Source organism: Homo sapiens, chromosome 10 (genome assembly GCF_000001405.40).
Source record: "Homo sapiens chromosome 10, GRCh38.p14 Primary Assembly".
Lineage (NCBI taxonomy): Eukaryota > Metazoa > Chordata > Mammalia > Primates > Hominidae > Homo > Homo sapiens.
This window is the reverse complement of record NC_000010.11, coordinates 107,688,901-107,713,406: the sequence shown is the minus strand read 5'-3', so window position 1 is coordinate 107,713,406 and position 24,506 is coordinate 107,688,901. Positions and strand designations below refer to the sequence as shown.

The following is a 24,506-nucleotide window of genomic DNA, read 5'->3' as shown; positions in this document are numbered from 1 at the left end:
CTCACCTTAATGTAGATGTCAAGAAGCATCCAAGCTGCCTGTTGAGGCTTCAGCTGAGGCTGACTTTCCCACCAGGCTAACCTGCAAGTGAGCACATGCATATGGTTGAGACCCAGTCAAATAACAGACAGTTAAAGAGCAGAGAAGTGAAAAGAGAGGTCTAATGCACATGATCCTCTTTCAGTAACCAAAGTGCTTGACCAAATGATGTCACCTTACTTGTGTTTGTCAACACCTCTTTTGGCAAGAAGTCACTCTCCAACTGCTAACATCATTTGACAGCAGCCCCTAATTATTTTTCTATGTTTATTTATCCTTGAAAAACAAATTTCACATGTAATGCAGACACGATTATTAGCAATAATTTGGAAGATACAACAAAGAAAAAACAAAATGAAACTTCAAAAGCGTACTTTTAGAGTTAAACCTAGAATATTTACTTAATAAAATAATGTACATAATTTATAATTACTATTACACTATATTTATATCGTATATTTATTTATATTTAATAAGTTATGAACTTTTAAAATTCAATAAATACTTTCTTTTAAATATCTAAATAGTGCAATTTGATGCCATCTTGGAGCTACACTAGAATTTGTTCAGCCATTACTTGCTTTGATTTTGAGTTACACAAAATATTTGTTTATGATTCTGTGGTAGATTTTTTGAGTCTTTGAACATATTCCAATAAATGGAAATAATAAGTTAAATGATATAGATTTTGTTAAGCCTATTGACAAAATATTTTTAATTTATTTTTAGAGAGCAGTAAGAACATTTAAATTCCCATCATGAGTATATGAAAATGCCAATTCTGTTGCACAGTTGCAAGCAATTTTTTTAATCCTTGAGTATTTGCTAGATAAAATATTTCATTTATTCATTTTAATGTCTTTAACACAAAACTTAACATTTTGACATATATTTTTCGGTCACATATACTTTTTTCTGTAAATCTCATTATTCTTTATTCCTACTTACCTATCAGGGTTTTAGTATAAATCTTGATGAAATATAAGTCCTGTACAGAATAATATTAAATTTTGTCTGTAATATTTTGGCAAAGATTCTCCTTAGCTTTAGTAGCCTTTTAATTTAGTTTATGTATTTTGAAATGGATGAGATTTTTACTGTTTTATGCAGTTAAATTTTTTAAAATTTTCTTCTGGCTTATTTAATTGCATGTAATTTTAGAAATCCCTGTTAGTATTTACAAAAATATTCATTTACATGTCTGTGAATGTTTTGTAGTTTAGTGAATAAAATTTAAATCAGCTGGAATTGATTTTAACTATCTTTTTTTTTTTTTTTTTTTTTTTTGAGACAGAGTCTCACTCTGTCATCCTAGGCTGGAGTGCAGTGGTGCGATCTGGGCTCACTGCAAGCTCTGCCTCCTGGGTTCAAGCCATTCTCCTGCCTCAGCCTCCCGTGTAGCTGGGACTACAGGCACCCGCCACCACGCCTGGCTAATTTTTTGTGTTTTTAGTAGAGACAGGGTTTCACTGTGTTAGCCAGGATGGTCTCGATCTCCTGACCTCATGATCCGCCCGTCTTGGCCTCCCAAAGTGCTGGGGTTACAGGCGTGAGCCACCACGCCTGGCCGATTTTACTATCTTAAGCCCTGCTATGAAGTGATTCACCTTTTCATCTCTGCTCCCTCTTCTAAAGAAGCCAACCTTGCAGAAGGTAATGAAGTTGGTCAGTGTAGCTTGCATTCCTTCTTTTATTACTCCAAAAATACTAGTTGTATGAGTTGGGCTATGTTAAACCCAGTTATTGGAACTTCTGGGCACTCATTTCCAGCTCTTAAACAGAGAACTCCTATTAGTTACTATGCATACTTCTACAGTACAGGATAAATAAAGTAAGCATGTTATGGGGTGTCAGAGACAAGGGAAGGAAAGAAAAAGGCAACAGTAGTGAGGGAATCATAGAAAATTTGTTTTCAAACCACTAGAAACAAAAGAAATAATTAAAATAAACACTCCTTTAGGCATCAAAAGATGCCTTTTGAGCTTTGAGCTTCTTTCGTAGAATGCTTACTGTATTTCCCAAAAATGCACGATATGCAACCTAAATATCATCATTATGAAATTGTCATCAAATGAAGAACATGGGCTATTTAGTAGGATGACTGACCCAGAGTCATCAAAAGATTCAATATCATGAGAAATATGGTCTAGTCTGCACTGGGTGGGAAGATGAATGAGACGTAACAGCCAAAGTAATTTTATGAATTTTTAGTGAAGCCTGCATTTAAAAAGAAACAATGAGAACGCTTTTTCAGATAATTGGAGATGAAAAATGGATATGCTATTTTAAAAATTAGTTGAATGAATGCTTATGTTTTCATGTATATCAGTGGTGGTGTGGTTTATTAGGCAAATATCCTTGATATTGGGAAATGGATTCTCCAGTGTTCTTAGAATTAAGAAGCACATTTGGGAGTGTTACTATGGATGCACTCTACCTTCAAATGGTTTGGTAAATGGATTGTGTGTGTGTGTGTGTGTGTGTATGTAGGGTATGCGTGTTTACATATGTGTAAGGAAAGAAAGAGCAGTTAGTGAATATGAGTGTTTATTTTAGCCATTTTTTGTTTCCATTAATTTGAAAAGTTTCTGAATACATTAAATGCATACATACATACATACATACATACATACATACATACATACAGGTAATAGTTCCTACTTCATAGACTTATTATGAGTACTAAATGTGCTGTTTCATGTAAAGAGCTGACTACTACTATGATAAATTATTACTATTTAATGCATGTTAAGTAATAGTCACAGAGAATCTTGGGATGAGAATATTGAGAATACATTTTCCAGTATTAAAAATAATAATAATAATAATAAATGTGCAATTATTGAGGTATTTGCATTCCTTCTTTTATTACTCCAAATATATTAGTTGTGCTTTTCCTATATTCCTGTGTTTTCTCAAGCAGTCCTGACATCTGGTGTCCCAGCATATGCTTCAATGCTTCAAACAAGAGTAACTTACTACCTTTTATTTTCGTCCCCTTTGGACGAACACATGTTTCATGCCATTTTAAGTCCCCTTTATTTAATGAAGTTCTTTAGAGCATCTTGATCCCAATTGAGATTTTTTTTCCTGAATTCCTACAAATTGACTTATTGCTTCTATTACTGCTCTGGGAATTCAGATGTAGATGTGCAACTCTTGTTTTCTTTGCCTCTTACTCTAAAATGCTTGACAGCCTACAGTGTCCATTTCTAGTATGAGGCCAAATACAGTTTTGGAGAATAAAGAAAATAACAGCTTAAGAAAAGAAGAATATTCTATATTATGGCTGGAGCTAATCTTTCAGATGGTGCCTAATTCTGAAAGTTGAGTTTTCCCAGAAGTCTGAAACTTAAAGTAAGAAAAATCACATGCCTTTGAAGATTTCTTCAATTGTACTATACAACCCAAGTACAAAGAAGAACTGGATTTCTCTGTGCATATTAATTCTAACATTAACTGCCTACTTCCTAAATGCAAAGAATTTTCTGTAATAAAAACTGGACCCACATTAGGATTAAGGCAGATAAGATTTCCTCAAATACAATACAAATCATAATCCCTTCAATTTAACTTTCTACTGTCATGGGATTTTCAAAGAAGGAAATTTAATTTTTCTTGAGTCAAATGTATTAATAATAAAAACAAAGTCCAATGACAGTGTTAGCAAAAAATAAGAAATGTATGTAAAGCCCTTCTATATTTGAATTAAATGCCTGAATTGGGCAGCATTAACTCCTAGACATTAAATATGATGTGGGTGATAAGAAATATTTCAGGCAAAAGAAAATATTTGCTTATTGAGCTAAAATGATGAATGGATCTATGTTATGAAAATAGACCACAGGTTTATTATCGGAAAGATTGTCTTTCCAGTTATTGGTAGAATGCAGATGTACATTAACAATGGTCTAGGAAAGTCAGATACGTTTAGTATGTGTTACCTACTGCAAGACAAATAAAGGCTATGATATATAGTGGACATATTTTTTTAATTATCTTTGCTCCTTCACATTCTGAATCCTCCAATATTCTATCTGGCTTATTTTTATTCAGTTCCAAGCTGGGCCTCTTCAATGAGATTATTCCAAATTCTTGGCTATAGTATTTCATTCAGAGTTTGGCGTAGATGAGTCAGTCCATTGAGAGTTGTCTCTGAGACCTTATTACTCAGATGGTTGAATTAACTAGGATAGATAGGATACACTGCAGCCAGAAGTAAACACTGGCATTTTACTACCTTAAAACATATAAACATATTTATAGGTCAAGGGAAGTCCAGTTTGGGTTGGGTCACACTCCTGCTTATAAGTTGGTCACATAAAATATATGGCTTCTAAAGTCACTGCACCTGAGAGTGAAAGAATTGGAAGACTTAGAAATAAATATTTTTAAGAGCCAGGACTATTTGTGACTTAGACCATTTCTTCCTACCACTCATTGACTAGAGGTCAATCATTTGACTTCAACAATGTGAAAATAAGGCTAAATAAACGAGTCTTCCTGTTTGTCCAGGAGGAAGAATAGGATGGCGAAAATGTCTCTGCGTTAGTCTTCTTTCTATAGACGTTAATAGTCCCATAAACTATGAGCCTTGAGTAATTGGTGTCCATTTCTTTTACACTCAATATTTTAAAAAGAACTTTATTAGAATTAAATCAGACAGAGGCATTTTACCAATTATTTCAGGCAGGTATCTGGATGGAGACTCACATATGACCTCATAAAAGTTTTTCTCCTTTTCTTAAGTACTGTTTGAGTTGAATTTCTCCATTTTAAAACCAAGAGTCATCACTAATTTAGACCTTTTAGACTACCCAGCCCAATGCTTTATAAAATTAACACCGTTAATCAGTTAATCAATTGGTGCATCAATTGGAAAGAATTTATTTTTCATGTCCTTAACATTATAGTGCAACTGGTAAACATCTAATCATCTGTCAAACTTTGTTCCAGTGTCACTGCTTAATGAAGTGTCTTCATCCCATTCTGCACACAGCTCCATTAATTCACTTAATTCTCATGGGCAGCATGGCATAAAATATAAAACCATAAACACGGAAATTAGAATCACTAGGTTTAAATCCTGGCCTGCCAATTACCAGCTTTGTAACGTTGGACATTATGTATAATCTCTTTTTTCCTCAGATTCCCCAACTGCAAAATGGGGATAAAATTATTAAGTTATCTTAAAAAATAGAAGAGTTAATAAACAGAAAAAAGTAGAACAGTGACAGTCATTAGGCAAGGTTAGATATTTTATTGCTATTGTTATTTTTACTAGACTGTGAACTCAAAAACAAATGTAGTGATTATTTACTATTTTTTCTTCAATACCCAGAGCATGCTTAGTACGCAGTGAGCACTCACTAAATATTAGTTGACTGTGTTGCACTAGTAATAATAGTAATAATTATAATAACACCTGGCATTATTAAGCACCTAGGATGTGCTAAGCATGGTTCTAAGTGCTTTTCATACATTAACTTATATAATGAGTAAGTTGAGAAAATAGTCTATCACTGAGGATAATTAATACTTGCTATTATTATTTAAAATACTGAAGAATTTCAATGGTTTAAAAAAGAAGAGTTTATTACTCATTGGGACAAAATTTAACTTGGATGTTGCTAGTTTCAGAGATCTCCTGGGTAGAACTTCCAAAAGTACTCACTCAGGGTTCCAGATTTTCTTCTTCCTACTGCACATTCTTTATAAGGCCTTCTGAAGTTACCTGGAAAAGAACAGAGGAAAGAACCATAAAATGAAGGTGCTTTATTGTTTAATTAGAAACAGGGCTAGAAATATGTCTCTTCCTTCCACACCTGTTCTATTGGCCAAAACTTGACACAAGATTGTGCAAAATAAAAAGAAAAGAAAATGCTTCCTTTGTGATCATGAGTGAAATTAAGTCACCCGGTAAAAAGTGAATTTTAAAGACCTAGTGAGGGTAGTTAAGATTAAAATCCAAAACAAATGAAAACTAAAGACTGCTATCATTGGAAAGCTCCACTGAAGAAACAATTAAAAGTGGCCTTGCAGGTTGCAGACTAAGAAAAAGTAGGATTGGTGGAATGAAAGGAGAAAGCACTCCAGGTGAGAAGACTAGCACAGCTAAAGGTGTGGAGAGAAGACTCTACAGGAACAACTCCTGTTAGACAGCTGAGCACTATGAAAAAACTCAGACTCAGCACATATAACACCAGCAACAAACACAGGTCATTAAAAGAATGTAGAAATGAATGCATGCATCCTTCTTTCTAGAAAACTTTGACATGTAAATAAGACTATTGCTGGTTGGAGACTGGGATTTACTCCAGTGCACCGGGTTATCAGATAAACAGGTTCTTTATACTTGAATTCAGTCCTTCTTCAAACTCCTACATCCACATAAGATGGCTGACTAATCTTGTTTAGAATGGTGTTGTTGGCAACGTTTTCTGACAGTTTCAACCTGTTGCATTGTACTCTGAATCCTGGTTGTTTTTGCACAATTTAGTCTTGCCTCCTTACCTAGACTATATACCATTCAAAAATAGAGACTTGAATAAATTCAAAGTCCTAAGCACAGTGTAGTGGACATAATAGTCGTTTACATAACATTGATTTATCTCTCGAGTCACGAGATGTTGTGTAGATACCTGGCACTGCAGTTTTGTGCTCTGCACACAGGCTTCTAAACAGGAGCACACCAAAGTCCACACATCTTACCTAGATTTTTTACCTTTTCATCTTTTCTATTAGCCAGTGAAGGAACAAAAGGCTAAATTATTATATTCTGAGTCATGGAGCTCTCTTGGTCTCCGTAGTCCATTTTGTAAGGGATGAGGCAGAACTGAACATTAATTAGTAAATGATTGATATCCACCCTGCCCTGTGCATGCAACCACCAGTGACCTATATTTTGTTGAATATGTGGTATTCTGATACATTAAGATACATTATTCTTTCACTCCTTCTGACACATTTTCAGGTTGGATGCCATGTTGTCTTGTGTGGGTGCCCAAGCTTGGCTTAAAATTCTAGTGCTTTCTCTCTTCCAAGGGCTGAGGCATTTGGAGAAGGTGTAATGCTTCCTGGGAATGCATCTGCCAAGTGTTGGAAGTTAAATAAGCAGAGAAATTTAAATGACATGTCATGTAAAACCCAATTCAAATCCAACTGGGGTGTCTCCAAGAAGCATCTTTAAATATAAATTTCTAATCTATGTTAAAATTACATCTTAAATTAAATGCTTATGGAGATGAATGGATTGCTCTATGAGTCAAAATCATTTACATGGACTGTTTCATGCTTAATCTGAAACATGTTTTCTCTAAGGTTCAAATGGGTAGGTAGAGTCTTCTACTCTTCAGACAATTACATCTTTAGGCTTCTGTATTTTTCTTAAATCAAAATCTATATTGCCTCAAGTGGGCAAATGATGTGTCCAGCTGAAGGCATCTGAATTGAGTTTAGGGTTCTGGTGATAAAAATATGAGATGCAGGCCTGGTGCGGTGGCTCACACCTGTAATCTCAGCACTTTGGAGGCCGAGGCAGTCAGATCACGAGGTCAGGAGTTCGAGACAAGCCTGACTGACATGGTGAAACCCCCGTCTCTACTAAAAATACAAAAAAAAATATTAGCCAGGTGTGGTGGCACGTGCCCGTAATGCCAGCTATTCGGGAGGCTGAGGCAGGAGAATCGTTTGAACCCAGGAGGTGGAGGTTGCAGTGAGCCGCGGTCACACCACTGCACTCCAGCCTGGGCAACAGAGTGAGACTCTGTCTTAAAATACATGTGTGTATATATATATATGAGATGCAGACTGTGCATGTGATTTGTCTTCACTTATGCAGAGTAAAAACATGGTGGCTAAATAAGGTACCTTTGTGGTTTCAAGAAAAAAGATTTGACTATTAGCTTAAGTAGGTGGGACTGAAGAGAAGCCTATAAATAAATATAGGGGCTATTGTAGTGGTCAGGTAACCCTATTGTATTTATTATCTTCTTTGCATTAAAGTAGATGACTGAAGAATTAGGCTAATGGAGACATTGAGCAATGGATGAGGAGAAATGGCAGGATAAGTTCAGGATTAGAATAAATATTTTTCAAGGAAAAAGAGAAACCAGTTAGGGGGTTGCCACAGCTGGCCTCTCTCAAGCTCGCTCTCTCTCTTTTCCCCTCTTTTTTTATCTCTACCTTTGGTTAAAACAAAATAAGTAGAAAACCATTAGCCTGGGGTTGTTTCTGTACCCACAGTTCTTACACAAATAAACTGATATTTAACTTAAAGGCATTCCTTATAATGCATTGATTTTGAAAAAATGAACAAATGAATTAAACTGAGCTTCAGCCATTCACAAACAGCTATTAGTTATATTACTAGAGGCTTTCCACTGGACCATACACAAATAAAGCAAATGTCTCACTTTAGTCAATCAAGTGATGTTCATACTTTGATTCTGCATTCAGTCTATAAAAGCCTGCTGCTCAAGCTGCTAAAGTGGAGCTCTCTGAACCTTTTCTGGTTTTGAGTGTTGCCCGATTCATGAACCTTTCAATGCTCAAGTGAACCCTGTTACATTTATTTTGTCTACAGGTTTTCTTTTAACACGTATATATTTTTTAGCATATATGGCTTCCTTTAGCTCATGACCATTTCATAGTCCAAACATGTGTGAACAGAGTAGCAGTTACTTTCATTCACTCAATACATGCAAACAGAATAAGCCTTTGCTGCCTAGTCAGAAAGACACATGTCAGGACTGCTTTGCTGAGGCAACAAGTTCTCCACTGCTGTAATTCAACTATACTCAAGGCTGAGTATCACTGAGGAGGATGAACAAATATGTAGAGTTTAACAGAGATTTAATATATAATAGATAAATAGATAGATAAATGATAAATAGTGCTGCTGGAGATGATTATGGCTATAATCAGAATGATAATGATAATGACAGTGATCATTCACTCTCGTATTTTACTTTCTCTCTTTCAGGCTCTGTTTTAACTAAATGACACGCTTTCGCTTATTGAACTTTCATAACCCTATGAAATTGATACTATTATCATCTTGTATTTTACAGAGAGAAAATTAAGCCAAAAATAGGTTAAATAATTTATTTTAATGCACAGTAGGCATCAAAAAAGAGCAATAATATTAAAAACAACGAGCAAAAACAACAACAGCAACAACGAAAACAGCCCAAAACATGCAATAAACAAGGCTCAAGGAAAATAGCATCTGCAAGCCATATTAATATCTGTGGTGTTTCCCCCAAAAGTAGTACAGATCTTCTCAGTGAATCTTTTTTTGGAAGACTGAGTATTTGTAACCCATATCTAGCAGAGGGATGAAGATCCCAGTACCTTTGGTGATGATGCCAGAATGTGACTACTCTTGAGTTTTCCTCAGTGGTATTTACCTATCAATATAGAATATAATTCTCACTAAATTCAAAATTAAGGATATTATGAGTTGAAGGATTATGTTTACTGATAAATGTGTCATTTAAATCTTAGTTATCATGCATGGATGGCTTAGACACTCATCTCTAACACCTTGTTCCATTTTTAATTTACTCATTTGATAATCCTGCAGTAAAGACTACATGCAGGCATTTAGAGAAGTTAGACTTTTTCTAGCTTGTATCTGGTTTCTACTCCAAGACCACAAGAGACAGACTCCCAAGAAGCAACACTCTTCAGGTTTCTGATTCCTCCAAAGTATAATTCATATACACACACACACACACACACACACACACACACACACAAATTACTATATATATCAATTTATATATATTGTACTTACTCTATATTATATTATCAACATATCGACTTTCCTTCAAATTGTTGTTCCTGTAGATTAGAACATTAGAGGTAAGGCTTGATCTTACAACTACAAATCTATCACCTTGACATTAATTTAGATTACATGTCAATATGAGATTTGGCAAGAATGGTGCCATCCAATAAATCTAATGAGAAGCATTACATTTTTCTCAATATACTAGCATTGTCAATTAGGTTTGATTGAAAAATGAGTTGTTCTCACTGGCACTAGAAGCAGTAGATCCCAAGTATTCATACATCAATAAATAGCTAATAACAGGCATTGTGTAGCTCATTAAATAATCATAACAGTTATTCTTCCTTAATAGGACTGGAGTGCCTTGTATCCTGCAGCTGAGTAAATCACTGCACTTGATGGTTTCCTGTTTTATTCTAAAAAGCAAAGACTGTAAATAACGTGAGCTGTTAGCTGTCATACAACTCATATCATTAGTAGCAGGAATACTTATAGAACCCTAAGCAAACATAATATGACAGAAAAAAGATGAAGAGAAGATACCAAAGACAAGGGTAGTGGAAAAATAATAACAGAAAATAGCAAGTAATATGCTAGATAAAATATAATAATAAACAACCTGTTTGCATAAGCATACTTACAAACAAACAATGTGTTAAGGCCAGGCCACTCACTCATACTTGGTTGGATGTTTTGGTGGAAAAAATATGTCCTGAGTTCCACTATTGTAAATTGAAATTCGGTTGCTTTGCTGATGTAAAAAAAAAAAAAAAAAAAAAAAAAAAAAAAAATTTGTTTATCCCAGAATAAGAATAACATATTAAGTTCAGTATGAATAGTTTTATGAAATTGTATTCAGGTATAAGTGTTACTCAGCTGCTTATAACAAAGTATGGAAATATCATTAGCCTTAAGAAGATGGAAGTTAAGTGCCAGTAGCACAGACTCACATTTATTGGAAATTCAGTCTTCTGGTATTTTTCTTTTCTGCCATTCACCTCACATATCTTGCATTTCAAATGTGCCTCAGGATTCAAGATGATTTTTAAAATGAAGGGAATCATGCCCATGTTCTAGACAGCATAAAAAAGTAGGACAAAATGTACTGACTCAACTCTTGGAAAAAGCTTTTCTGTAAATTATACAAATATCTTCTATTTACATTTCATTAGTCAAAACACACAGCTTTCAGTAAGCTGGGAAATACAGTAGTAAAATAGGCATATGACTATATTTAATAAAATTAGTAACAAAATATTCTTTTCTAACAATGGTTTAATTCTTTGCTTGTGACTAATATGCTCTCTTATAATTACTAAATAATTTGAAGAAAATTATAAATAGATGAAAGAGAAAGAGAGAAAACATTGGAATGTATTGAAGGACCTGCTAAGTGAGGAGTTATGTGGTTGAGATCTACAGGATGAGAAAATGCCATGATGTCATGGATTTGAAACTGCTACATTCCAGTTCCTAAGTCAGTGGCTGAGAAGCTGAATAAAACTTTTGATGCTTTTGTAGGGATGATTTGATACCAAAAGGAAAAGCCCTGATAAATACCTCAGCTTTTGGTTGTGACTGCAATAATGATACATCCATGGAGAAAGGAGCAGAGGAAATAGACAAGTCCTTAAATAAAATAAAGTCCACCTTTAAATCATCTCAATCCCTAGTAGAGATTAAAATGACCTGGAATTTATAGTTCTGCGAGCATAACTACTTTTTAAAAAACATAAGTAAATTCTCTATGGAGGGAGATGGTTATAGTAAATGCCTTGTATTATCTCTATAGGTTTTCACCCTTAATGTCTGGATATTAACAGATAAAACAACCAGTAAGAAACCCATATGAGAGCACAAAGTACGAAGAAAAGTATGAGGGAAAAAAGTGACAGATAAAAGAGGCAGATCAACAGAGACTCCAACAATAGGCTAATTAGACTTATGATGTTTTAAAAAGAAAACCAACTTTAATGTGTTTATGAAATTATAAATAGTATTGTAAATTTCAGCTGACAGCAAAAACTACAAGTAAAATAAAATAGAAATAGAAATGAAACAAAATTATCAAAATCAAAATCAGTAAATAGATATGCTAACAGATTAGACACAGACCAAGAGAGACCTGGTGATCTGGAAGCTAGAAAAGCTGAAAGCACACTTCCTTCTAGTGACCTGGAAGACAGACTAAGCATAAAACACACAGGTAGATGCACATCATGAGAAAATTATAAAACTGCAAAACAGGAGCATAAAGCACATATGGGATTTATTGTAAAGTTCTAGTTTGCATGGAATTGAAATCCAGAGAGGTGAGGGGAGAGGGAAGGGAGAAGAGATAGTGGTAGTAAATTTTCCCCAAATAGACATAAGTCATTAAGGCTCATATCCAATAATAATACATTGAAGTAGGAAAAATGCTCAAAAAATCCCCAAAAGATCACCATGATTAAAGTCCAAAAGAAAGAAAACTTTACAAATAGACATAGAAAATCTGTATTACCTTCAAATGAGCCACAATGAGAGCTGCAGAAGAGAGGAAGCAGGTGAATGATGTCTTTAATTAGTGAAAGAGATATGAATACTAATCTTAAATTGTCTATCTGAAAAAATGCAAAAGAAAAAATATATATTCCTTTAAAAAGCCAAAAATATTTTTAGTCAAACTCAGAGAAATTTTATTAGCAGCATATGTAAGCTAAAATCAAACCAAACAGCAAAAACAGTGATGACAACATCAAAAAATCACCAGATAAGTATTCTTTCAGCAGAATAAAAAAGAGCCTAGGAGAAAGATGGAATGTGCATGAAGGAAAGTACAGTTAGATGAAAGTTATATAAATGAATCTAAATAAATATTGACAGTAACCACAAAAAAGAATATGTTGTGAGCTTTAAAATATCTACAAAATTAAAGTATGTAACAATAGTAATACTAAAGTCAGAAGAGAAATAGTGTTAAAGTGTTTGACACATTTTGAATTGTCTGGAAGTCAATAAAGTATTAACTTATATTCATTGGAATCATTATGCAATCTCTAGCATACCAGTAAAACTGTAAAATAATTTATAATATGTTAATACAGGGCAAAGTTAATGATAAAAACAACAAGAATAAAAATTATACCTCTTTCAGATTTTCCAGATCTGAATGTCTGCTTTAGGAGCAAAGTATTTGCTCCTGGTGCAAGGCCTTTGGGCAATTCCAACTAGAAAGAAAATGCAAATAAAGTTTATCAGAGACTTATAATACTAGATATTCTAGATACAGAGTCAGAGTGAAAAACGGGCAGAAAGAGAAGTTGTCAGAAGAGTTGCTGCTGGGAATCCTGCTAGTCATGTGTCCTGGTCAAACCTGTTGAATTATGGCCATAGACATAGATCCAAAGCTGACACCCTCTGCCTTGAAAGTTTCTTAAGTTTTCCTGGCCAAAGGAGTCCTAGCTGTATTGTGCGGAGCATGTAGAACATGAGATGAAATTTCAATTTTGTTCTAAATGTCAGGGGAAGTTACTGAGATTTCATTTAAAAGATCACAGTCTGTTGTGTAGAGGATGGATTTAGTGAACATGATTGAAAGCAAGGTGACCAGACAGGCATCTGTAGCAGTGGTCTGAGGGACAGCACCTATCCACTCCTGGGGAATCATTTTGGATAGAACTAGTGGATTTAAGTGACTCTGACTTCACAACTGCATTAGATATAACCCCATCCTCCCACCTCACCCACAGCCCAGACTGCATTAATTAACAATCCCCTCTTCTAATTAGCTTGGGGTAATTATTTTCCCTGTGAAAGTTGGTTTTGGGAAAACATTCCTCCTTTTCTTTTCTCTTAAGAAGAGAGGAAGCTGAAAATCAAACGTTATTGTTTATGGCCAAAAGTAATATGAAAGACAGTGAAAATCTTTCAGCTCTAAAAGTAATTACCTAAAATCAAAGGCATGAAAATGATGGCTGGCTCTTACAAGTGTGTTTTAGGTCATGTAAATCATGTTAAAAGTTGCAATTAGAAATAGATTTGTCCCCCTGGGAGAGCTACATGCAATTTTCAGCTGCAGAAATTTACTTCTCTTAGGCTCCAGGCAACCATCCCTCCAAACTGTAATCTGTTCTTCTATATTACATGTAAGAATCGTTGCCGAGGTCAATGTCTTGGTGGTATTAAATCGTTTCTTATGCCTGACACGTGTCTTCTGTTAAGAATATTAGGCTGAAATAGTTTAATGGCAGATATTATGGAACAAATTCTGCACCTTGTTTCTGATTGCTGGAAAATTGGTGGCTCTCATCCATCAAAAATTATTTTCTAACCTAATTTTTTCTTCAACTCTACTGTAGGGCTTTTAAGATTATTTTAAGAAGCATCTTTGCTGCTACATTTATCATGGGATGTGAAAGGACAAAGTTTTAACATCTTTTGTCTGGAGTCCTGGGTCATTTTTTATTGCAAGCCTTTGGGTTATATTTTGTTAGGGAAGTAAATTCTAGAGCAACTTTGAACAACCTCTAAGAATCATTTCAGTTTTAGGATGGAGAAAGGCCTTTGCCGTAGTCTTATTTTACAGCTTCTTATGTGTCCATCTGCAAAACTCAGTAAAGTACTTTGTGAGTATAATATGCCTTCATCCAGTTATTAATAAATACGCACCAGCATCTATGTTCAGGCACTGTGTTAGGTTCCAGGCATACAATAATCCACTAAACAGACAGGATTCTTGCTCATAAGGAGCGTTCAGTTTTGTGTAAGCAAAGGGCCATTCATCCAAGCTCCCTTACTCTAGTGGGCCCCTGATAAGATGTAGAGCAAGTGCCTAGGTCTGCACGGAAAATTTTATTTTATGTTGAATGTGAAAGTCTGATGTTTCCTCTGAAGCTTTGGGCTTGCACACATATTGCCTGCGGGCCTGGTGTCAAGATTGTCTGTAAGACATTGGAATCTACATGAACTTTAATATTTTCTAAAATTGTGGTCTGTGGATTTTTATTTTGAGATTTTACTCCCCGTCAGACATTTTAGCATGTGTGTACATGCACACATGTATGTTACCTGTGTTTTTGTGTCTTTGCAGTGTCTCCTCAAAGCAGATTGGTGTGACTGATTTGCAAATGAGGAAATTAAGACTGAACATTCACTTGCCCTTGGCCAAAAAACTGGCAACTGGTAGACCTAGGATTCAGGCTCAGGACTGTCTGCTTTAGCAGCCTGCATCCTGTGCCTGCCCCTACTCCAGCATATTCCCATCTTTTTGGTTTGTACTCCTTTCAGCCCCCTTCCACTTAATCTTGTAGAACAGAGCAGTTCTTACCAGTTTTTCATTTTCATACTAAAAATTATTGGTGCTTTAACTTGTTGGTGCCTCAAGTTACTTTCTGGATTGTGTCTTTTTCCTTAAGAAAAAAAATGAATGGGAAATTAAACTAAGGGCAGATACTCAACTTAGACTGTATATGTGGCTACTTGTATGTATATAATACTTGAAACTGTTCAAACTACAGGATGAAAATACACAAGCCCCAAAATTGAAAATTCAAACATTGTGCTATGAACTAAATTATGTGCCCTCAAAATTCATAGTTGAAGCCATAACCCCTAATATGACTGGTTTAGAAGATAAGACCTTTAAAGAGATACTTAAGATTAAATGAGGGTCATAAGTGTGGGACACTGATGGGATTGATGTACCTATAAGAAAAAGGGAGAAACCCTAGGGAACTCACATACAAAGAGCCATCTGAGGCACAGTGAAAAGTGAGTATCTCCAAGTCAAAGAGAGAGATCTCATGAGAAATTGGACTTAACAATGTCTTTGATCTTTGGCTTTTAGCTTTCAAAACTCTGGAAAAATACATTTTTGTTGTTTACTCAGTCTTTGGTATTTTTTTATGACAGTCCTATCAGATTAATACACATGGTAACATTAAAAGAGGAAGGGAGGAGGAAATGGAGGAGGGAGAAGAAAAGGAGAGGAGAAGGGAAGAAAGGATAAGAGGGAGGAAGAGTGAGAAACAAAAGAAAGCAAGAAGGAAGGGAAGGGGAGGGGAGGGAAGGGGGGAGGAGGAAGAAAAAGAAGGAAGGAAAGAAAGAAAAAAGAAAAAAAGAAGAAAGGGAGGGAAGAAAATAAGGAAGGAAGGAGGAAAGAAAGAAGGAAAGGAAAGATTAGGGGAAAGAAAGTAAAGAAAAATAAAAGAAAAAATAACTGCCCATTAGAAAGATTTTAGAGGGAAGACAGAAGAGATTTTTTTTAAAGTTCTAAAGGTAGGAAATAAGTGGACAAAATAAAGAGACAATGTCTTGAAAAGCAGCCCAGTGGCTTTACAATAACTATTGGTAAAATTCTCTTTTTTGCAACATTAATTAATGTCCTATTCTATGGGTCATTCAGTGAGTTAAGGTTCTTCCCTCAGATCAGGCACTCTACCTGGGCTTCAGATACACCCACTTCCCTCCCAATGCAACTGCCAAGAGATTGTCATACCCTAGATAGCTAAGTTGTGCTTCCTCCCCGATCATGAGAGGGAACACATGTCTGGCCCTCAACAGTGGAAATGACAGAATAACTTCCTTCTCTGTGTTGAGTATAAGGGCCTTGTGGGGCTGAACATTCCCTGTCTAGTTATCTGATAGACACTCTCCCCCACAGAGGAGAAATCTCTCTTTCACTTGAACAACACTCAGCAGAATTTCATTATAATCTTTGTGAGGCCCTGGGATGCTTCTCTGATTGGTCCAGTCTCCACTAGATACCATGGAGCCAATGGTTGAATATCAAAATGCTTACCTAATTGGGTGAGTAGAGGGGAGATCTGACATTTTCTGGCTCACCAGATATCAGTTTTAGTATCTGTGGCTTGTCTCACAGGTCAGTCCTCACCTGTTGGTCATTGTAGAACCTGTTTTATCCACTGACAATATTCCTATCTTATATATTCCTGGTACTTTCCACCATATGTCCAAGCAAATTAATTATATTACTTTATTTTACAGGCAAAGTTGCATGTGTTAAACACTTGTAGGCAAATCCATAAAAAACTCACAACCTTAACTTCCCTAAGTGCCAGTTTCTTCACCTGTAAAACTGAGATAATAACAGTTACCTCGCAAGAATAGTATGAGGATTATATGAGCCAATGTGCTAAAGTACTTAGAAAAGTATCTGGTATATATAAGTTGTTTAATAAATAGGAACTGACAATATTGCAATTATTCAAAATAAGCATCCAAGTTATTACTTCTTAGGAGAATGATAGTATTAGCAAGCTCTAAAATTATAGGAAACAGTGCCACCACTTCCACTATTCCTGGGGTGGTATTTCCAGGAGGGCTGACTGCTAACTTCCTCCCTGTCCAGTAGGCAAAGCCAACTGGTATCCTGGTGAAGAAAGATCCCAATTCTTGTTCCCACTCCCCTCTTCTCTCTGTAAATAAGGAGCAGAGCCACAATATGGATCAACTAACTTTTGTTTTGCAATTTCAAGTGTGTGCTGGCTCCCTAACACAATCTCCTTTCGGGTGGACTTTTCACCAGAACATGCTATTATCTTGTCTGGGGAATGCTGTAGATATAAAAAAAAAAAATCCCAAGGAGATGTTTTGAATATACAAAAATGTAACTCCAGGAAGAATTTTATTCCTTCTTACAGCAGAACTCTCTCCTTGTTTCCCTCCTCCGGGGACACTTAGTGAATAATGTGTGCGGGCTCAGGAGTAATTGAGAATAATGGCAGTGTCAACCTTAGGACAAGTGATAAATCTTAGTTTGTTTATGACTTAGAAATGTTATTAATGTTTGATCAAAAGAACACTTCTTAGTTGTAATTAAAATATGCTAGAGCAATTCTTTAGCTTCACAAATAAAGAAAGAGGCTTGCAAAGCAACTTCAGAAATTTCCTCCCAGGAGGCACAAAGTAAACTTTGATGAGAAGCAGCCAAACCACAGATTATTCTAGAGCATGTGTAATTTCAAGGATCTGCTATACTATTTCATTTATTTTTAAATATTCATATGTCCTGGCTGCCTACTATCTACAGTGATGACACTGTCTCACTCACAGGGAAGTTAGGTGGAGATAGATATAAATACATAAGTGATTACAAAAATATGTGATAAGTACAAAAATAACATTCTGTACTAAGTGCTATGGGAGCACAAGAGCTGTGATGCTTGAATGGGATCTTTTTAGAAAGGAAATAATATGGCCTCAATCCTACAGATTTTGATTTAATTATCTTGCAATAGGACCCAACTTAGGTATTTGTTTTTAAAGTTTCACTGATACCTATGTGCAGCCAAGATTGAGAGGCACTGCCCTAACCGATATCAGTCCTACTGAGCTTCCTTATTCTTGGCAGTAGCAGCTTTATGATCTCTCTCAGGGAAAGAAGGCAATGAAAGTTTTTATATTCTAGTTTTAGGATCTCACCATGAGACAACATGGGACTCAGCATCCTTTGCACCCTGCATGTGAACAGAGATGCCCGTTTGGCGCAAGAATGGGAGGCAACTAAAACCAACCAGATATACTCGGAGACCAGGACTTTATTTCTCTGAATCTTAATTTCCCATTCTAAGAGGAAAGAATTAGACACGACTGACCTTCTGTAAAAAATCACAAGTACAGAAAATGCTTGAGAGAAAGATACTGGGATGGTAATTGTCAAATTTAGGTGGTGATAAGAATCCTCAGAGGGAACTTCTTATAATGCATATTCCTGGGCCTCATCCCCAGGGAACTTGTTTGAGTATGCTGACAGTGGGGAATTACGTGCATAAATTGTGTATTTTTCATAATCTAATTGGGTTATTGGGTTATTCTTTCTGTAGGGAACTTGAATATACTTTGAAAAAAAAAACCACAGTGGGGTTGAGGAATCCCAGTTGGTGCCAAAAAGGTTTTATAATTTTTTTAAGAAAATGAAAGGAACAGAAGAGGAGAAGTCTTGGGTATGACAGAAAAGAAATTGTCATGTGCCAAAGTATATTTTGGTTTAAAAACAGTGCTTTAGTGTTGGAAAGGATCACCAAGGTGATTTGGTCTAATTACATGTAGCAACATCAGTTAAGCCATCATAAATGAATAGCCATGTAGCCTGGCTGAATTCTCTCAGGGGATTCCCTACATCCCTTTTCCATTTCTGGTTGATTCTGGTTGTCTCTTCACTGACCACATCCATCAATCTATACTTTTTGCCTTTTGGCTTTCAGCAACATTGAATAAGCTAGCTTGTTCCTGCTCACACTCCTTTGTCTATACTTGGTAATGGGTCTCTTGTCATTTGGCAAAACAGTCTTCCTTTCTCCCTGAAGAGGCCTCTTCCTCCAATTATTCTTCTTTCAGTAGTTTTCAGAGCATTCACCATCCTGCTCACAGTACTCTGAAAACTGCAGCAAGTCTCAGAAAGGGTCTTCCTAAATGCTCCCCAAAAAGCAGTATTACCCACATCTGCTGTCCTCTACCCCATGGACAATGAGAGCATTGCTTCCTGAAGTCACTTCCTATTACTTTTTTCAATGTATTTACTGAATATTAGCAAATCAACTTGAATTAGATCTAGAAGAAATTGGTGGTTCCTTCCAATCACTGACCCCATGGCAAGGAGTAAACTCATTGAAACGGAAGAGAAATTGAATGCCTTAGAATCAGTTAACCAACTCTAATCTACCTGAAATCACTCTTAGAACCTGTGCCCGAGAGTACCTGAACTAAGCGTGTCAGGATTCCGTAGATTCTTGGAGGCTGAAGGAGCAGAGAAATTATAAAGATTAAATGCAGTAATCAGGGCTTTAATCCCACTCCACATCCAAAACCAAGTGTTTGGATTGTCATGTTCTGATTCCATAAAGCTTGGCTCATCACCATGGGTAGTAAATGGTCATTTTATGGAAGGTACTCACTACTGGGTTGGCAAAACCAAAACCATAATTTTCTCCATGAATCTTTGATTTGTGAAGTTGTTTTTCTAATACCAACTGTGGCAGAGTTTTTACATATCATGCACAAACAAGGCAGAAGCCTCTGTTCTTTAAGAGGCCAGGAGGAAACCTGGCCCAGTGGCTCACGCCTGTAATCCCAGCACTTTGGGAGGCCGAGGCGGGTGGATCACTTGAGGTGAGGAGTTCAAGACCAGCCTGACCAATATGGTGAAACCTTGTCTCTACTAAAAAAAAAACAAAAATTAGCTGGGCATCGTGGCATGGGCCTGTAGTCCTAACTACTCAGGAGGCTGAGACAGGAGAATCAATTGAACCCAGGGAGTGGAGGTTGCAGTGAGCCAAGATAATACCACCTCACTCCAGCCTAGGTGACAGAGTGAGACTCTGTATCAAAAAACTAAAACAAAAAACAAAAAAAAAAAACAAAAAAGAGGCCAGGAGGAATGGAGGCAGGAAAGACAGAATGTCTGTTTCTACCCAAGTTCTATGCAGTGAGAAAAGGTGTTGTGGAAGAAAAACTGGGAAATAAAATGGTCTAAAAATCTTCTAAGGGAAAATAAACAAAACATTTTATTCTCTGTGGAAATGTCCATGCTATTCAGTCAACTAAGGTGACTGGCAATGCAGTGGGAGGTGAGTTATGGGCAGAGGACCAGAGAACTAGAAGATTGGACTACTCCATCTTTTTAGAGAAAACATTCTCCCAGACACGTAGAACTCACTCGGTAAGACATGGTCAAGGGTACACTCCTGCTCAAGGATCTACAATGATGCTTAACCACCTTAGCACACAGTCCTCTGCAGGTTTTCTGCCTCATGTATTACCACCTCTCCATAACATGCAAATTCTCCATAATGAAGCTCCAAGGGACCATCCTCCAGAGTCAGGGCTAGAGATTCAGCAGTGTCAGCTGTTTTCTCTGCCCTGAACATGGTGGTCTCTTTCATAACCCAAGTCATTATTCTTGCTGGCTCTTCAACAGCCAGATTTCTTCTGATCTCTTTCCAATGAAAATCTAATTATGTTTTAGCATCAACCACAATGCTATGTCCATTAAATATTTCTTGATTTTTTAATGATTGCTATGATTTATAAAGCTTCAATTACATAGCAGGCATCACTATTAAGTGATAAATATATTATTATCGAATTCCCATAACCATCTCATAATATAAAACATCATTTTTTCTTGTTTTGGGACTGACAACAGAAACTTAAACAAGTTTTGTCTTCCCGTTAATGTCACAAAGATTATAAGTAGATAACTTGTACTTTGGACCCAGATCTGAACATACCAGAATCAATACTCATGGTCCTCTGTCACCTTTCATTATTACTCTTGCCTTCTACTTATACTTCCTCAAATAATACTTATAAGTATACTATACTTATACTATACTACTTATACTTCCTCAAATGTAAATGTGTCTCTACTGAGTACCTATTCCAACTTTAAATATAATTTGCTATTTGCAGATCTACTTTCATTGCTCTGCTGTAAGCAGTTCTTTCTTATCTCCCAATCCTTCCTCTCAGTTGGAGGAAGAGCCATACCAGATAAAAATGTATTGAACTCAAAGTGAATGAAAAATGAACAAGACTTTGCTTCTGGCTATGATGTACCTTGTATCAGAGTAACTCACATTAAAAGAAACACAAAAAGAAGTCATTTAGTCAGAAGGAATATAACCCCTGGTAAAAGATGAGGCAAGCATATATTTAAAAATTATGAGGTAAATAACCAGATATAAATAAATAGACATTGTTTAAAATAATAGCAATAATGGTTTTGGGGTTTTAATATACATTGTAGGTAAGGGTTGCAAAATCTTTGGTGTGGAGGTGATAAAATACTAATTTGTTATATATTCTAATAAAAAGGAATAAATAAAACTGAACTAAAGAAATAAATAACATGCAAACTATTAGAGGGCAAATGGATGATTTATAAAATCTGTAATTATTTCAAAAGAAGGCAAGACTATGAAAAAATAATACATATGAACATATATAGAACAAAGGATAAGATGTTAGATTTAAGTAAAAGTATATTTGTAATGTAATTAAAATAGACTAAATCCTCTCTCTAAAATAAGAATTGATAGGCTGGATTATAAAAAGAAGAAACTAAACTAGCTAACCCATGATTATAAGAAACACCATTGACCACCCTGGCTAACACAGTGAAACCCCGTCTCTACTAAAAACACAAAAAAATTAGCGGGCGTGGTGGCGGCACCTGTAGCCCCAGCTACTCGGGAGGCTGAGTCAGGAGAATGGCTTGAACCCGGGAGGCGGAGCTTGCAGTGAGCCGAGATTGTGCCACTGCACTCTAGCCTGGGCAACAGAGCAAAACTCTGTCTCAAAAAAAGAAAGAAACACCATTAAATATAAGGACACAGAAAACACAAAGATAAAAGGAATGTAAAGATTAAAAATGCGCCAAGCAAATACTAACCAAGAAGAAAGCCAGTGTTGCCCTACCACCATTGAAAAGGGAGATATTTATGGTTAGAAATATTTCCAGAGGTAAGGAAAACATTTTATGATAATAAAAGAGTCTACTCAACAGAAATATGCATCTATTCTAAACTTATATTCCCTTTTTGTTTTCAAAACAACATGTGAAGTTTAGTGTATTTTACTGATGCATACAATTTGTTTAGACAGGAAAATAGAAAATGGATGGAAAAGGATAAAAATTATGCCTACTGGGAATCACCAAAGCATATCTCAAAACAAAAAGGAATCACACAGGAGTAATCTAAATTTATCAGGAAGAATTTGGGCTGGATGGGGTAAAGAATGCATAATCAAGAAAGCCAAGTAAAAAAAACAATTTGTATAATATATGCCCTTATTACTATGTCCTGAAATAACATATAAAATGAATGGTGGTGATTAAGTCAGTCATAGTATCTAATTTATCTTTCTTTTGACTCTTTCAGTGATATGATTATTCTTTTTATCACATGTGTATAAAAAGCCTAATCATGAATGTTTGACATTCGAGATAGCTTATGTGGTATTATTTCTATTGACATAAATATGCCATTATGTATTCATACATATGCAATATTTATGTGCAGTTGCATCTATGCAAACGTGTGTATAGTGCAACCAAATAAGGTATTAATGCTGACGTGTATAGGTCAATAAAATGATCCCTGTTTGGAAGAGCGCTAAACAATTTACCCAACCTTATATGCACCTTGAATCACCTGTGACTACATGATAGGCGTAATATGCAGATCTGTGCAATCCTCAGCTTTATGAAAGTTCCTTTGGAATGATGATGCTGTATTAAGATCATCTCTTAATAATTTATACTTTTTCTTAATATTATTTTGTTTACTAATTATTAAATAGGTAATACACATTGATCAAAATTCAACAATATAAAAGTGAATACAGTGAATAGTGTGCTTCCCTTCCTCCCTCTTTTGATCCCAGATAAACCAGTTATTCTCTTTGAAAGCAATGACTAATGTCTATTTAATTTCCAAAGGTATTCAGTGCATTTAATAATAACATCTAGTAATTATATATAATATATATAACAACAGATTTATGTATCTGTGTATGTGTATATGTATGTGTGTTTATATCTCTCTTTCTTCTTTAGTCACATTGTTTTACAGCTGAATTTTTCACTTAAAACTACCACAGGGAGATTTATAAAATTGTCTTTTTACATGGCTATAGAATATTTCATTTTATGAAGGTATCAAATTTATTGTACTTGTCTTCTTATATGGAAATTCATTTCATTACTTTATTTTACAATTATAATTATGCAATGAATGTCCAAGCACATATATTATCTTGCTTCCACCCCACCCCAAGAAAATGAAAGTGCTTCTGTAGAATAAGTACCATATTCAGAATGCTGGATTAAAAAGCCTTTTCAGTTTTAACTTTGAAAGCTACAGCCAAGTTGTCCTGCAAGAAGACAATTCAGGTTGACAGTTCCACTAATAGTGACTTACCCTTATCAATGTTCTCAGCATATTGTTCTGGGAGAACTCCAGGAGAGTGGGAGAGAGGCACAAGAAGGCAGCTAGAAGTTTCTGAAAAGGCAAAGTTGCAACACCCGCTATGATGATTGGTGACTGACCACATTCTTGAGCTAACCCGATTTAGAAAGGATTCTCAACATTAGAAACTCTATTAGGTTCCTCTTTCCTGCAGACAAATGATATGCAGCAGTCATTCTTTGAAACTACAAGACTTCAGTAATATAAATTTTGGTGTTTGCCACTACTTCATATAAAATCAGTGGAACAAGCATTAGTAAAAAATCAACTTAAAGAGTTAAAAAAGTATTTTAAAAATGCTGTTGAAAGCCCCATGGTAGATTGTGTCACAGGGAAAAGTGGGTATTTATGGAAGGGGAGGCAGAAGGAGAGGGTCGAGAATTACATTAAACCTTTAAAAATAAATCATGTTTTAGTCCTCTGTATATGGATGTTCCATTCTCTCAGCACCATTTATTAAAGTGACTGTTTCTTCCCCAATGTTCTTGGAATCTTTGTCATAAATAAATTGGCTATAAATATGTGGATTTATTCCTGGATTCTCTGTTCTGTTCTGCCTGTCTATGTGCCTGTTTTTATGCTAGTACCATGCTGTTTTGGTTACTATAGTTTTATAAAATACTTTGAAGTGACTTAGTGTGATGCCTCCAGCTTTGTTATTTTTGCTCAGGATTGCTTTGGTTATTCAGGGTCTTTTG

General features: G+C 35.6%; 1 long non-coding RNA gene across 2 annotated transcripts; it reads right to left on the bottom strand.

The window, feature by feature from the left end:
- Nucleotides 1-23,843, bottom strand: LOC101927573 (uncharacterized). Of its 2 annotated transcripts, none has more exons than XR_246185.4 (7): nt 23,761-23,843; nt 12,963-13,044; nt 10,786-10,908; nt 10,477-10,586; nt 9,839-9,885; nt 5,714-5,773; nt 1-81 (listed from the first exon to the last, which is right to left on the bottom strand). It is a non-coding gene; the product is annotated as an uncharacterized LOC101927573 (long non-coding RNA). The 2 variants fall into 2 exon arrangements; XR_946305.1 differs by lacking the exon at nt 23,761-23,843 and adding an exon at nt 15,144-15,223.
- Nucleotides 23,844-24,506: the final 663 nt, after the last annotated feature.